At 42.5% G+C, this 17,052-nt stretch overlaps 1 protein-coding gene across 3 annotated transcripts in view, besides 1 other annotated feature; it reads left to right on the top strand.

The window, feature by feature from the left end:
* ATXN1 (ataxin 1) overlaps positions 1 to 17,052 on the top strand; it is a 462,349-nt gene that overhangs the window by 156,944 nt on the left and 288,353 nt on the right. The window lies entirely within an intron of this gene.
* Positions 1,062 to 1,247: a silencer, noted in NCBI's record as "fragment chr6:16603501-16603686 (GRCh37/hg19 assembly coordinates)". NCBI's record gives its function as "represses an EF-1alpha promoter that drives an FKBP-Casp9 reporter gene in an ReSE screen in HepG2 liver carcinoma cells {active_cell/tissue: HepG2}" and the evidence as "EXISTENCE:reporter gene assay evidence [ECO:0000049][PMID:32094911]".

Raw genomic sequence — 17,052 nt, 5'->3', positions numbered from 1 at the left:
TTTGTTTTCTTTTTTTTAGATACAGGGTCTCTCTCCATCACCCAGGCTGGAGAGCAGTGATACAATTGTGGTTCATTGCAGCCTCGAACTCCTGGGCTCAAGCAATGGTCCTACCACCTCAGTCAGTTGAGTAGCTGGAACTATAGATGTGCACCACGTGCCACGATAATTTTTGTTTTTTTTTTTTTTTTTGAGACAGAGTTTTGCTGTGTTGCCCAGGCTGGTCTTGAATTCCTGGGCTCAAGTGGTCTTCCCTCCTTGGCCTTCCAAAGTGCTGAGGTTACAGGTGTGTGCCATGTGCCTGGCCTGTTCCTCTTTATCTCTTTGTATTGAGAGGTTCTTGAGAAGCATTTCCATCTGCTTTCCATCGTTTTCTCCCATGTGCAGACTTGGTTAAAAGACCTTGAGGAATCCCCCCTTTACGAAGCCTTATCCATGAGAGGACAAGATAAGGAGACCCTTGGTTTGTGGATTCAGCTTCCATGGTCATTCCCATCAGTTCCCACCACTTCTAGGAGAGATAGTATCACTCGATGCTGACCTGGAAAATCCTGGTAGAGACCCAGGAACTCATAGGACTCGGTCCCCACACCCTCATGCCAGTACCTGTGTGACGGAGAGGCGCCCCTTTGCATGGGGTGCTGCACAATGCCTTCGTCAATCTTCTGCCACTGTCCTCATCCCCACCCCAGCCTGCTCACCTCTTCCCCTGTACCCCACAGCCACCAGGCCAGTTTCACCTGGTGGAACACTTCCCCCACTTCACCTGCTGTGCCTCACCTACTTCCTCCTGCCTGTTCTGGTGAAGCCTCCCGCGTCTTTTCTTGTGGTAATGCTCTTTTCTGCCTCTCTAAACTTCTGCCAGTGTTTTTGTATTTGATTTTTGAAATTCAACTCAGACCTCCAAATGAGGCCTAAGTCAAGCCTAGCTTTTGGCGAGCTCACCCCATTTATGGTGGGGGCCTGCCTGGTCACCTGCTCGTCTTAAAACCTGCCTTTCCTTATGGAACTGTGTTTTCAATGAGGTTCTGGCCGCTAAGCACTCAAGGCTGTGTACACTCAACTGTTGGGCTGTTGGAGGTCTCCCCATGAGAACTTTATTACAGAATGGAGTATGGAGCCTGGAAAGGGAAGGTGGCCCAGTGAGGAATGGTACTGCATTCTCAGTCTCTGGGTGAGTTGAGGCAGGGGACCAGAAGGAGAGGAGGGAGGAGTGGGAAAGGCTTAAAGCCTCTTGGAAGGAGAAAAGCCAGGGGAAAGGAGAATGGTAACTGGGAAATGGGCTAACCTCAGACCTGCCTTTAGCGGACGCCTGGCTCGAGGGCCCAAGACCTCAAGCTCTCAGAAACTGGTAAGAATCATGCTGTCCCAGGTCCCAGTGAGGTGACTCTAGGTAGGAGGCCCTTAGCAGAGGTGGCTGGGTCAATCCCAGTCGGCTGCTTTTATCTTTTATTTTATCGGCACTTAGAAAGAAAGTATGGTGCTCCTTCTGAGAGGGCTCTTTAACATTGCAATGGGCCAATCACTTTATATCATTATCTCATAATTATTATATTACATTACATTATATTATGATAATTCCTGTTTTGTAAATGAGTAGCCGAAGCTCAGTTACATAGCCTGTCCATGGTCACAGTGGAACATGAACCCAGTTTGTGATGTCAAAGCATTTCTATCTTTATGGCAAGCCTTCATAGGAAGCAAAAGAAGCTTGCAAAAGTAGGAGACGTTACCTTATCCTCTTTCCCCGTTCAGAATTTGGGCTGCGGCCAGGCTCAGTGGCTCACGCCTGTAATCTCAGCACTTTGGGAGGCCGAAGCGGGTGGTTCATGAGGTCAAGAGATCAAGACCATTCTGGCCAACACGGTGAAACCCCATCTGTACTAAAAATACAAAAATTAGCAGGGCATGGTGGCCTGCGCCTGTAGTCCCAGCTACTTGGGAGGCTGAGGCAAGAGACTTGCTTGAACCCAGGAGGCGAAGGTTGCAGTGAGCCAAGATCATGCCACTGCACTCCAGCCTGGGTCACAGAGCGAGACTCCATCTAAAAAAAAAAAAAAAGAATTTTGGCTGCTCACTGATGTTAGAATTTAAAAGAAAGTAAAGTGATGCTTCAATTAAAAAAATTAAAAGCTTAAAAAAATTAAAAGCTTTAAAGTATGGATTTTTTTTGGTGGGCGGAGCAAAAACAGTGACTGAAGTGTATTCATATTGAAACACTGTGGTGTTTCACTGGTGTTCAAGTTGACAGGGCAGGGGTGGGAAAGAATTACGGAGTAGAAACCCCTGGGGCCCAATGGGGAGGCACCTAGAGGGCCTAAGGGGAAGGATCCTACAGATGAACTTGACCTTCTTTATGATTTTGCGGAAGACAACTCTGCTTATCTTTCCTCTGGGACCAGTAAAATAGCTGTTGGGGGCAGATGCTTTGCTGATGCTTAGTATACAAAAGACAGCTTATATGGGGGCAATATTAATTTTCTTAAGTCCCTTGGCATGGATTCTGAAAACTTTAAGATTTATGATTTGAGAACCCTGACTCTAAAATACGTGAGAATTTTCTGCTTGCAAAATAGATTACGCTTGCACAAAATACGCTTGCACAAAATCTTCTACTTGTATTTCTACTCTGGATTGTTGAAACAAATTGATTTTTTCTTTTTTGAGACAAAGTCTCACTCTGTCATCCAGGCTGGAATGCAGTGGTGCAATCTTGGCTCACTGCAAGCTCCGCCTCCTGGGTTCACGCCATTTTCCTGCCTCAGCCTCCCGAGTAGCTGGGACTACAGGTGCCCGCCACCACACCCAACTAATATTTTTTGTATTTTTTAGTAGAGATGGGGTTTCACCGTGTTAGCCAGGATGGTCTCGATCTCCTGACCTCATGGTCCGCCCGCCTCGGCCTCACTAAGTGCTGGGATTACAGGCGTGAGCCACTGCGCACAGCTGAAATAAATAGATTTTAAGTGGCTGGCTGGCTCTCAGATTGCATCCTGTTAGAAAGTCAGAATAGAAAATAGATGCATTTTAGCAGTGTTGGAAGAATAAACTCAAAGTCCCCTGGAAATCCTGGACCCCACCCACCTCTTACCAAGTATCCAGCAGGAACCTTCTTCCTTACTATTGTTATAATACATTCTAGCCCCAGTAATTTGTTCCACGTATCTCATTAGAGTGAAGATAGCAACATACTTAAATAAGAATTTCATTTTTCAGTTTTAGCTTTTGATGTAGGCTAAATGCTCTGTGTCACATAACTTAGACTACCTACATGCCTCATACACTGATACCCTATTTTGAAATTACACATGAATTTAACACTGCCACGTTGGGACGTGCTTTCTAAAGTTACCTATGAAATAACTTAGATCCGGTCTTGGAAACACCTTTTACCAGCTAGGTACCCATCACATAGCTTAGTAGGTGATGGTGGGGTCCTTCGTTTTTTTGACTACCCGTATAATTTCAGGAGCAAGCCTAATTGTTATGCCTCCTTTGTTATTACCTCCCCTAGCCTAGATAACATGCCTTCCAAATTGTATTGAGAGTACACAGGAAGACAACTGCAGCAGGCAACCAGCTCTAACAACTGCGTCATTTTCTAAGAATCAAAGGAATTACTTGAGTTTCTAGTTCTGGCTTTGGCTTGCCAGACATATACCTTACCCCAGCGAGGTAAATGATTCAATCATTTGGGAATGATTGAAGTTGCTGCCTAATTCATAACTTATAGGTGATTAAACTTGTAAAGTATTTTGAGGCTGTTTCTTTCATTCATTTATTCCAAACAAACATTTGTTGTTGAATGGGTAGTGACTTTGATTTTAAAACACTATACAGACATAAAATAGTGGCAGCTTGTAGATAGCAATTTTTTAATTTGCTGTCCTTAAGGAATTTCGTTACCAAATCCTCACGAATCTTGAACCTTAGAAGAATAATCCTTTCCTTTGTTGGAGTTTTAAATTTAGAATAATCAGACAATAGTGAAGCATTCTGTTCAAAGCATTCCTTTTAGGCTACCCATTTATTATACGCTGCTCTTAAGAGGAGATGAATTTGATTAGCATTGAACATTCAGTCAGTGTTTTTGCATAGCTAATATCACGGAGAAATTTTCAAAAAAAGTTATGCCTGCTATTTAACATTATTATACAGTCAACTTTTAATTATCTGTATTAATGGAATGTAATCAGTGATGTGTTGCTCCAAAATCATTTCCTTTGGCTTTGAGAAGCACCGGATGATGCTTTTATTGGTTTGTGGTTTTGCTTAGATAGTATTAAAATTGTGCCACATGTGTGCACATAGCTCATCTTAGGGAGGAAGTAGCCCAAAAGTATACTGGGGGCTAGGGAAAGGTCAACTGGAATTTTTAAACCTACCACAGATACATATACAATGGATGACCCCAAGATTATTCATCTTAATTATTAAATAAAAAACAATGGCCAAGAATTATATAATGGCAGCTGTGTAAGAAAAAAGACGCAATGAACCACATGTGAGATTTCCATGTAGGACACACATTGTTTCCCACCTTTCCCTTTTGAAATTTCCTGAAAGTGAAACACTCTCATAACACTACAGCAGTGAACACTGTTAGATTTAGTGATCCTCCAAATGCATTTTGCTGGTGCTCCAAATAGGCCTCTTGGGGGAACAGAAGGAACAGAAGGGCTGATGTCTTGACATGTTAATGTTTCTAGATAATGTCACCTTTAGGTGTGATAGCTGTTACTGTTTATTATTTTTTAAATAACCCTCTTGTTCCCATTCATTCAAGTTAAGCTTTTTTTTTTTTTTTGAGACGGAGTTTCACTCTGTCACCAGGCTGGAGTGCAGTGGCGCGATCTCTGCTCACTGCAACCTCTGACTCCCTGGTTCAAGCTGTTCTCCTGTCTCACCCTCCTGAGTAGCTGGGATTACAGGCACGTGCCACCATACCCAGCTAATTTTTGTATTTTTAGTAGAGACAAGGTTTCAGCATGTTGGCCAGGATGGTTTCGATCTTCTGACCTCATGATCCGCTCGCCTCAGCCTCCCAAAATGCTGGGATTACAGGTGTGAGCCACCATGCCCGGCCTAAGCTTGTTTTTTTTTTAATGAATAACAATGATAGAAGGAAATCTTTGGAGGGTTTATCTTCTTAGTAGCGGCCTTTCAAATTTCAAAAGTCTTCTCAGTGCACAAATCTGTTTTTGCATGAGGCTGCTATAGGGCCAGCACTTTTAGTCCTCTGTGGCCTGTTCACCTGAGTGAGTGGTGACATTTCTTGGTTCATACCTTGGAAGGCAATGATGGCTGGCCCTTTAGAGTGAGGTGAAGGAAGACTGATCCCTGGGTGTGGAGGTACTGATGCATAGGAAAAGAAAACATCTTTGGTGACACCATTGGGTGTCAGATCAGTTTTTGGCAAGTTGGCAGGAAAGTCTCCAAATCAGTGGGGTCTGGCTGGGCACCAGCAAGTTGGAAGCTGCATTAGTTCCTTCTGCTGGCATGTCCCCCTGTCATCTGGCCATAGCCTCATCTGCTCCTACTACCTTGCAGGTGCCCTTGGGGTAAAGCTGTCCAGATGCACATGAACCCCTCCTCTTTTCAGCTGGACACCAAGCCAGGAAAAGGAGAGGTGTGACTTTTTGACGGAGGCCAGTTTCTATGTCAGCAGCCTTGCCAGTGAACACTGCAAAATGGTGTCAGCCTGCAGCCTTTTTGTGCACTGGAGCAGAGCTCCCCTCACCACATTTGTGAAACAGGTTCTGTCATGGGGCCCAGGTGTCCTTTTCTCCTGCCACCCCCACTCCAGCTTGCTGGCCGCCTTATCATTCCACACCAGGAAGCCAGCATCCTTGAGTTGTCCTTACTTCTTATGACCTGCTGTGTAGAAAGAGAGGGGAAAACCAGTGTCCGAGTGGCTGCTGTGGGTGTGGTCTGGGCCGCGTAGTTTTATATACGTAACAACCTTCTGAGACAAGCGTTAGTGACTCCTTTTACAGCGGATGAACTTGAGGGTCAAGCCAGTAAATAATTTCCTCAAAGTGACAGAGCTGGAAAGTGGTAAAGTTAGGATCAATACTCGGCTTTGATTTTAAAATATGCATATGCATATATTTTGGAGATCTGGATATACCACTTCCAAAGTAGCATATTATACTGAAATTTCAAAAGAGAAAACATCTTTAAACAAAAGGAAATAACTCTTAATTATGGAGTTTCAGGTATCAATGTGTTGCTGGAGGGCTGTGATCTTAAAAGCATGTCACATTGGCAACCCGTTCCGGCAGGTTGTGACAAGCTATGTAGCATGCATGAAAGCATCATTCATTTTTTAAAAAATGTCTTCACCATTTATTTCTTTAATTTTTTGTTTTAACTTTTTATATTTATAGGCAATAATTATGTATATTTATGGGGTACAGTGTGATGTTTTTATAATGCATACATTATAACAAGATTCAATCAAGCTAGTTAATATATTCATCACCTCACCAGTTTATCATTTTGTGTGTGTGTAAGAACATTAAAAATCTGTGTTAGCAATTTACTTCATTCTTAATGGCAGACTCAGCTTCTTTTTTTTTTTAAATCCTAGACTGTTGGCTTCTCCTTCCAGCAGTGTTGTAGGACTCAGCTGCCTTTCTTTGCTGTCCCTGGCCAGAGATGTGTGCACTCCTGGTCTCCTAATAAAACTTTAGCCTATGCTGGGAGCCATGGATTTGGCAGCACTGCCTTTAGCATTTAGGAATATGTTTCTCCTTACATCAAGAATAGTTTTAGGCCAGGCATGGTGGCTCACGCCTGCAAATCCCAGCACCTTGGGAGGCCGAGGCGGGTGGATCACCTGAGGTCGGGAGTTTGAGATCAGCCTAACCAACATGGTGAAACCCCGTCTCGACTGAAAATACAAAAAAATAGCCAAGTGTGGTGGCATGTGCCTGGAAGCCCAGCTACTGGGGAGGCAGAGGCAGGAGAATCGCTAGAATCTGAGAGGTAGAGGCTGCAGTGAGCCAAGATTGCGCCACTGCACTCCAGCCTGGGTGACAGAGCAAGACTCTGTCTCAAAAAAAAAAAAAAAATAGATTTATGCTGCTTGTTGAGGACCAGCAGTATTCTCAACCATGTGAGGCATTCTTCGAACATGTGAAGCAGCATTTTCCTGGATGGGCATTTCTGCCATAATTGTGGGCAGAAAAAGGTGTGGTCCACATATGCCCAACAGGGCCAAGGGGCAAGGGTGAGCATGTACCTATGTCTTATACCCCGGAGATTCTTGCGGCTGACGAGGTTCCCTTACAAAGCCCAAAGGAATTCTCCTCCTTCCACCGGAGGTGTTTATAACCTCTAATTTGCTCACCATGCTTCTAGTGGAAGGAGTAGGAGCTCAATCCCCTGGGAGGCTGCGGCAGAGCCAGAGCAGGCTGGTGACCCAGAGCAGTGGCACTCCCCTCTGAGTGCATGATGCAGATGGAGCAGGAGGGGGATGCAGGTGGGACACCCTGCGCCCTGCAGGTGAGTGCACAGCCAGCGAGACACCCAATCAGGGAGCAGGAAGGCTGTCCCTGTGGCAGCAGGTAAAAGAGAGAGTCGCTGAGATGAAATTCGTGGGTGTGTGCTTCAGCTTGTTTGAACAGCTCCTGTGCAAGATCTTATAGTAAATGCTGAGCTTCTTTGTGCTCTGTGCCTGTCGGTGGAAGGCATAGCCCTTGATGAAGATTTCTCCTTCTACCCATCTTGCCTTTGGAAAGGGCTCCCCTTTGACAAATGCTGCTGTAGTATTTGATGCAGCCTCCATGAGGTGCTTTGGGTGGGAAGTGGATTCTGACCTCATTTCCCAGAGGAATTTGAAGTGGAGGGGAAGGACTAATTGGTCCCTCATTAAGGACTTACAATGAAGTACAGTATTTCTCCTGAAAGGATAATCTAAGTCACTGGATAAAATGCCCAACACACTTTTAACGTGACATAGGAATCCAAAGTCATTTTTAAATCAAAGATTTTTGTAGTTGTGGAGAATGGCTGTGTTTTAATGGGATCTTTACATATCAGCATTACAAAGGGCTCCTTCAAATGTGATGATTTTAATGTTTTTGCTGGGGTTTCACCTGAGGTTCCAAATACATATTTCCCTATCATATTTGCAGGCATCCAGCACCCGATTTTAGATATGCAAATCAGCTCACTTTGTTTACCAGGCTTTGGATAGGGGAGAAAAGGAGGTCTGAGGCTGGGCACGGTGGCCACACCTGTTATCCAGCACTTTGGGAGGCCAAGATGAGAGGATTGCTTGAGGCCAGGAGTTCAAGATCAGCTTTGGCAAGATAGAGACCTCGTCTTTACAAAAAATAAGTAAAAATTAGCCAAGCATGGAGGCGTGCATCTGTAGTCCCAGCTCCTCTGGAGGCTGAGGCAGGAGGATTGCTTGAGCCCAGGAGTTAGAGGCTGCAGTGAGCTATGATCGTGCCATTGCACAGCCTGGGTGACAGAGCTAGATTCAGTCTCTGAAAAATAAAAAAACAAAATAACGGGGCTGCAAAAGCTTCCTTGACGAAGAAGGAAAGTCTCTCGCTCCTGTTTAACACTGCCTGGCTGGGTTCCAGCTCACTAGCTTAAAACGAGAAGGCACCACCACTGTGATTAAAATAAGGCCCTACTTAATTAAAACAGTGTGAGAATTTAATAAGAGGCATAAGACTTCACTGATAGTCACCAAAAAATCTCAAAAAGGTGACTTAACAGGCATTAATAGCATATGTTGCTTGTTTACTCTCTGTCAACATTCCGTTTTCCAGAGACATCCTTCGTACAGGTGAAAGTCTCTCATTCCTCCCTCTCCCCTCACTGCCTGCCTTTCAGCCATTTCCTTGCTTTTTGTAGTTAACCAGTAAGAAAGAGACCATAATGGAGAAAGAACACACTGACTGTGTTTCACAGACTGTTGCCCTCATCTCCACTTGTGTTAAAGAAGGTAAATTAGTTCCCCTCCAGATTAACTTCAGCGTCAGCTGTGGTGCTTTCCTGACACTTCTTAACATTTGAACAGTACCACATTCTGTCCGTTTTATCGTTGTCTCTTCTCATACCCTGTATTTGCCAATTCTGTACTCATGCCCAGACAGATCTATAGGTATATGTAGGAGGATGATGAAGAACGGGCCGATTCGTAGCTCACCCTTTGAGCCAGGACCAAAGGTTTGGGAGTCTTAGGCTCTGACCTTATTCTTTTGGAGAGGAAAGAATCATTTTCCTTTAAGCCTAAGTCTGGCAAAATCTAATTACAAAGTTTTTCGATTTTGCTATTTTAAAATAAAAGCTAAGCCTTCCCCCCATCTAATCAGCCCTCTCTTCCTCTGCTTCTAATAGTGAAGGAAATAAAGAAGTCTCTCAATTTCACAAGCTTGAGGTACTTATATTTGTACATGATTTCCTGTTCTAAGTGGGTGGTTTTGGCCCCTGGCACTTCATGTACGCTAGGGCATTTTTGGACACTTTTGGTATCCACCTTGCTTAAGAATTGAATGACTAGGAAAGAAGGTCATGGGGAGTCTTCAAATTATTAACCCTCAGTCCAATCTAAGTCATTAGTTAATGCCATGTTTGAAGGTGGTAAAGTAACCGTCATCTTACGAAGTAACTCTCGTTTGTTATGCTTAGTGCTGAACAAAGTATAAACTCACCAATGTGAGAGACAGGGACAGGATGCTTATTTCTTTATGGATATTTAGAATTTGAGCCTGTAGGCTGGGCACGGTGGCTCACGCCTGTAATCCCAGCACTTTGGGAGGCCGAGGCAGGCGGATCACGAGGTCAAGAGATCCAGACCGTCCTGGCCAACATAGTGAAACCTCGTCTCTTCTAAAAATACAAAAATTAGGTGGGGGTGGTGGTGCGCACCTGTAGTCCCAGATACTCGGGAGGCTGAGGCAGGAGAATCACTTGAACCCAGGAGGTGGAGGCTGTAGTGAGCCGAGATCGTGCCACTGCACTCCAGCCTGGCGACAGAATGAGACTCCGTCTCAAAAAATAAATAAATAAAAAAAAAAAAAGGAAAAAAAGGAATTTGAGCCTGTAACACCAACTTCAGCACAAATAGATCTCTTTCTTGATTCTGAAATGATTTATCAGTTTTAAAAAATGGTGGGGTGCACTGCTGGTGGGAGTGTAGGTTGATATAGTCATTTGGGAAAGCAATTTGGCACTATTGTTTAACAGTGAATATTCATAGACCCATTCCTAGGCAATAACCCAGGGAAACTTATGCTGATGGGTATTGTTCCTAATGGACACAGCATTGTTTCTAATAGAAAAAAAAACGAAGCTGAAAAAATTTTAAAGGTCGTCAACAGACATATATATATATATTAGTCTAATATATGACAATTAGACTAATATATATATTAATTAGACTAATATATATTAGCTTCTATCCCTGTAGACTAATATATATTAGTCTAATATATAATAATTGAACTAATATGTATAATTTGACTAATATGTATATTAGCTTCTATCTCTATAGACATATATTAGTCTAATATATAATAATTAGACTAATATGTATAATAATTGGACTAATATATGTATTAGCTTCTATCTCTCCAGACTAATATATATATATATTAGTCTATTGAGAACCTTTATATATATATATATATATATATGCACACACACATATACACGTACATACATACATATATATAATTTTTTGCTTCACAGAATGGAATATTATACAGCAGTGAATATGAAGGAACTATAGTAGCTACCTGTAACAACATGGCTAAATCTTAGAAACAATATTGTGTGAAAAAAACTAGTCACAAAAGACTATATACAGTATGATAGTATTATAAAGTTTAAAATCAAGCACAATTAAACTATGTATTTTAGAGAGTGATAGATAGAAAATTTAAGATAGTGGTTACCCCTGGAGAGAAGGCAGGAGGATGGCTTAGGGAAATAGCAAATAGGTAGATGGATCAAAATACCCCTAAATGTCTAGTTCTCAAATAGGGTGGTCGGTGTATGCCTGTTCATTTTATTCTTATGCTTCACAGGTTACGTACATGTTAGTGCATTCTTTTGTGGGTTACAAACATTGCATGATAGAAATATTTTTAAAGTGATAGCATGTCAGAATTATGGCTTGTTTTTTCCATCTCTATTTCCTAACATTCTCTTTCCATAGTCCCCAGGGAGGGGGCTTGAGATCACACAGGAGTAATTAGAAGGTCTGCTTCTGACAGTGTCGCTCCTTGAGTGGTGGAGGTTTTAGGGGGAGGCTGACAGTAACTACTGAGTGGAATTGAGAGGTGAAGCCAGCTGGACTTCCTGGGTCGAGTGGGGACTTGGAGAACTTTTCTGTCTTCCAAGGGTATTATAAAATGCAGCAGTCAGTGCTCTGTAGCTAGCAAGAGGTTTGTAAAATGCACCAATCAGTGCTCTGTAAAAATGCACCAGTCAGTGCTCTGTAGCTAGCAAGAGATTTGTAAAATGCACCAATCAGTACTTTGTAAAATGGACCAATCAGCAGGGTTCTAAAAGTAACCAATCATGGGGAGGATTGAGAAAAGGGCGTTCTGATAGGACAGAAACAGGACATGGACGGGAAAAATAATGGAATAAAAGCTGCCCCCCCCAACCCCCCACCCCCACCCGCACCAGCCACCAGTGCAACCTGCTCAGATTCTTTTCCAGCTGTGGAAGCTTTGTTCTTTCACTCTTTATGATAAATCTTGCTGCTGTTCAGTCTTTTGGGTCTGTGCCATCTTTAAGAGCTGTAACAGTCACCGCAAAGGTTAGCGGCTCCATTCTTGAAGTCAGCGAGACCACGAACCCACCAGAAGGAACCAACTCCAGACACAGAATCAGCTAGGAGACGTGGGTGCTTTCTGTATAGTGCTTCCTACCAAAAGCCTAGAAAATCTTGGGGCGTGGAGAAAAGAAAATCCATCAAGTAAAGGCTTGATCACCTCTTGGAAAACCCATATTCATTGTCCCAACAGTGACTAATACGTCTAACTGTGGGCCTGGGTAGGATATTATGAGAAACCTGTTCTTTTGGTGCCCACCTTTCTTTTCTGAGCAACACGTGGTCTTCTGAGTGAGGCAGGAGTCCGGCATATGCGTGATGATGTAATATGTTAGGCAGCCAGGCCCTCACCTTTTCAAAGGTTCGATCTTGAAAAATCAAAGGTGGATATGTGAGAAATAAGCCCATATAGGAATAAGAATGACAATGGAAGTGGAAAATGTAAGTTGGGACTGATGTTCTGCTGCTTTGAGTACTGAAATTCTCTGCTGCTCGGATTCATCATCACTGAAGTGCTGGCCAGTACTGGGAGGGGGGCAGAGCTCTCCCGGGAGTCGTCGCTTATTCTGAAACAGCTGAGCAGAATAATGAGTGACAGGCTGGTGGTGGGGAGGTTGAGTCTTACTCCGGATTTCCATTAAATGAGTGCATGGAATCAATAGCTAACTGAACATTTGTCTTTAGAACACCCAGGGGCCCCTGGGGAATTTGGTATTTTCAGTCTAATTCTCAGACAGGAAAATGCGCAGCATGACTATTTTTTAAAATAGTTTCAACATCTTTTATGTAATGCTGATGCATCTGGAAGTGAAAACGCTAAGAGTTTCATTTCACTAAAAAATGGATTTTTTTTGGCTTTAACCTTTAAGTTGAAATCACAATTAGTGGCCTTTTCACCATAGTCATAAGAGTATCAAAGTGTGTGTATTCACCCACACATCAAACCAGTGTTTACTGAGAGTATATTCTGTGCAAAGAATTGTGCAGTTTGTTATGAAAAATACAGAGACCTCGCTGGGGCCCCTAAGGAGCTCATAGTCTAGAAAGGGAGACAGATCATTACACGGCAGGGAAAATACAATATGTATGGGAGCATGTCACAAAGGAAGTGACATCGAGCTGAATCTTAAAGGAAGAGCAATGCTTGAATGAATGAGGACATCCCTGATTGAAGGACCAGCATAATGAACAAAGAATTTTGCCTTATATTACTAAGATTCCATCAGATGTTATGACGCAAACATAAGCATCATGGTAATGAAATTAATAGTAAATTTAAATAAAAATGATCAAATTAAGACTTTTTTGGTTTTGTCTATTCTACCTTCTCATTTTAATTATGTTGCAAAGAACCATATACTTAGGGTAAACTGGTCAATAGCTGTGGCCATGGAATAGAATTATAATTCAATTTAAAAGGAGTTTAATAGTCTCATGGTAAATGAATAGGTTACAGCTGGGCACTGTGGCTCACACCTGTAGTCCCAGTTCTTTGGGAGGCCTAGGTGGGAAGATTGCTGGAGACCAGTAGTTTGAGTCCAGCCTGGGCGACATAGCAAGACCCTGTCTCTACTAAAAAATTAAAAAAATAGTTGGGCGCAGTGGCTCACGCCTGTAATCACAGCACTTTGGGAGACCACATGCTGGTCGAGACCATCCTGGCCAACATGGAGAAACCCCATCTCTACTAAAAATACAAAATTAGCTGGACGTGGTGGTGCATGCCTGTAATCCCAGCTACTCAGGAGGCTGAGGCAGGATAATTGCTTGAACCTGGAAGGCGGAGGTTATGGTGAGTGGAGATTGCGCCATTGCACTCCAGCCTGGGCAACAGGAGTGAAACTATGTTTCAAAAAAAAAAAAAAATTAAAAAATTAGCCAGGCATGGTGGCGTGTGCCTGTAGTCCCAGCTACCCAGGAGGCTGAGGTGAGAGGACCACCTGAGCCCGAGAGGTTGAGGCTGAAGTGAGCTGTCATCACACCACTGCACTCCAACCTGGGAAACAGAGTGAGAACTTGTCTCAAAGAAAAAAAAAAAAGAATGTTATGAATTTAGTATTTTTATACTTCCCCTACAACTCTAGTATCTCTGAGGAAAAGCCTCAATCAGAAAAATGATTTGCTTTGGGGTTTTATCTTTTATCAGTGATAAATGTGAATTGAGAATAGAAATCTCAAAATGCAATAATGATAGTACTTTATATTTCAGTAGGACTTAATATATAAAACTCTAATATGCATTATTTAAATTTGGCCAATATGCAAGAGAAAAGCAACATAGGGCAGAATTATGAGTTTGCTTCGTAAAATAACTATTACCAGTTCATTCTGTTCAACTATGTACTGGTAGCATTTGTAAACAATTCATTCTTATTTTTTTTCCAAAGTGCATTGCAAAATAGTCTTGCCTGTATTTTCCTGTTTGCAGTCTATTTCATTAAATTTCTGCAATTCTAAATTAGAATAGCATCTAATAGACCACATATGAAATGTGCTTGCTATTAATTCAGACATTTTATGGCATATTCATTAGTCAAATCCTTAGTATTTATTTATGAAGTCACATTACTCTGTCCAGTAATTAACAGAAGTGGATGAATATGCATCTCTAATTTTTTTTTTAGCAAAAGAAATAGCTTACAGTAAGTATTTATAATTACGTCAGCTCAATGTTTACAGCACTTGAATGGCGATATGTGTAGTTTCTGTCATTTAGACTTCATAGATAATTTTTGTACAGAAATGCTTTGTTGTTGATGCTTTGCTTCCTTCACACATATATCACAGATTACCGAAACAATCATTAGTCCTTCAGTTGCAACGGATAAGACTCTTCTTTATCCTTAATTTTCTGAGCTCCTTTCTAGGCATTTTATGTTCTTACACAGATGCTAATGCTAATTAATGCTTTAATATGAAAGATACTGGCAAATAAAACTGTTACATTTTACCCATAAGTTGTAAATTCAGCTTAGTTGCCCTAACAATACTGATAGTGATAATGGCTGTACAATTAATATTTATGGAGTGCTTCCAGTATACTGAGCTCTGTGCTAAACATTTTACTTATGTAGCTTAGTTAACTCTCGTAACAACCCTGTGAGGTAGGTGTTATTAGCCCGTTTCACAGATGAATTTGTAATCATTATGCCTTACCACATTTAATAATAACATTCTCTATTAATCGTATATTTCAGATGCCCAGCTCTGGAACTTTGCAGTATGAAACGTGTGTGTATGTGTGTGATGTATATATAATATATAAGTATGTATATATAATATATAAATGTAGATTATATAATATATATGTGTGCGTGTATATACACACATTTCTTTTTTTTGTTGTTGTTAATTTATGTGCCACGCTGCTGTACGAAACTCTGGGGTACTATGATGAGGGGATACCTCTTTCTTGCCTTTAAGGGACTTAGGTTGTGGTGGGAGAGATGGACTTGGTTAAGGAACAAGTACAGGAAAATATGATAATTGCTTTAATAGGGATAGGTACAGGGGTTGTAGAAAAATGAGAGAAAAGGGCCCCCACTTCCCAGAAGGTGTCAGGGAGTTTTTCACAGAGAAGCGTCCCCAGCCCTGAGACTTGAAGACTGAGTGAGTTTGAAAAGATGATGTGTGGGGGGAACAGAAGAGAGAAGGGTGTGGAGATGAGGGAAACAAGATGGGGTCAGGGAGCTACAGGGAGGGACTTGGAGGTGCTGAGGGTCAAGTGCAGCAGGAGGAGAGACCCGGCTGGCTGGGGTCAGAGCTCAAGGAGCCTTGCATGTTACCCAAAGGAATGTAGATGTCATACTCTGTGTGCTGGAAAACGATTTACAGATGAATCCAATCAACACTAATTAAATCAGTATGATTAAGGGATGACCTTCCTTTCTTCCTACCTTCCTCCCTCCCTTCCTCCTTCCCTCCTTCTTTGGCTCATTTATTCACTCAGAAGATTTTATTGAGTGCCCATAATGTGCAAAGCTTTCCATTGAATCCCAAAGATGAAAGGAGGGGTGAGAGTGGACACAGTTCTCCCTTTCTGGAGTTTATTGATTCGTGGGGGAAAACAAGCATTAATCAATGAATCAACCAAAAAATGTAAAAGTTACAAAATGACTACTATAACCAGGGAGGGTCATTCTATACAAGTGTGTCCTAGGAGGTGGTGACCTGGCTGAGGAAGTCTCCCTTGAGAAGAGGACTGAGCTGAGAGCTGAAGGAGAAAAGAATACAAGGTCATTTGATAGAAGGGGTGGGTGATTTGAGGAGAAGTCTTAGCAAGGAGGAAGTCATGTGCAAAGGCTTTAAGGCCTGGGAAAGCAAGGTCCTTTTAAGGAATTGAAAGTAAGCCAGCCATGCTGTAGTGCAAGTTGGAAGAGAATGCAGGTTTTGGGGGCCATGTTTAGAAATGGAAAGCCACTGCAATGCCTTAGGCAGGAGCCAAGGAAGGTAGTAGGGTGGCAGGGTGGACGCGGGGAGACGTGTTAGGGGGCCAGGGAAAGAGTCCAGATGAGCCAGGGTGGTGCCGGAGAGGAGCGGAGGGAGTTGAGGAGTATGGCTGCATGGTTGAATATGGGGCATAATTTGGGAGAGGAAGACGTCAGAGTGATGTTGATGCCATCACTGAGCTAGGAAACGTAGGTGAGGCAGAATCTATTCTGCTTAGATTTCCAGAAAACATTAGGGGATAGATGAGGATGACATCACAATGGAATTTAAGCTATTTAAGCTCAAGGTTGGCCTTGAAAAATGAGTAGGAATTTTCTTTTTTTTTTTTTTTAGACAGAGTTCCGCTGTTGATGCCCAGGCTGTAGTGCAATGGCACGATCTCAGCTTACTGCAACCTCTGCCTCCCAGGTTCAAGCGATTCTCCTGCCTCAGCCTCCCGGGTCACTGGGATTACAGGCGCCCACCACCATGCCTGGCTAGTTTTTTTTTTTAGTATAGATGGGGTTTCACCATGTTGGCCAGGCTGGTCTCGAACTCCTGACCTCAGGTGATCCTCCCGCCTTGGCCCCCCAAAGTGCTGGATTTACAGGCATGAGCCACTGTGTCCAGCTGAAAAATGAGTAGGAATTTTCTAAATGGCAAGGAGAGGCAAAGCATGTTAATCAAAGGGAGTGTCATATGCAAAGGCAGAGGCATAACAAAAATAGTGCAAATAAATGCCTACACATATACAAAAGGAGAGTTATTGTGGGACCCATACATAATTTTGTTGATTTCTTGATATGCTCATATCCATT

Source organism: Homo sapiens, chromosome 6 (assembly GCF_000001405.40).
Source record: "Homo sapiens chromosome 6, GRCh38.p14 Primary Assembly".
In the NCBI taxonomy this organism is placed as follows: Eukaryota; Metazoa; Chordata; class Mammalia; order Primates; family Hominidae; genus Homo; species Homo sapiens.
Note: the sequence above shows the minus strand (reverse complement) of the source record. Positions and strands in the feature narration are given on the sequence as shown.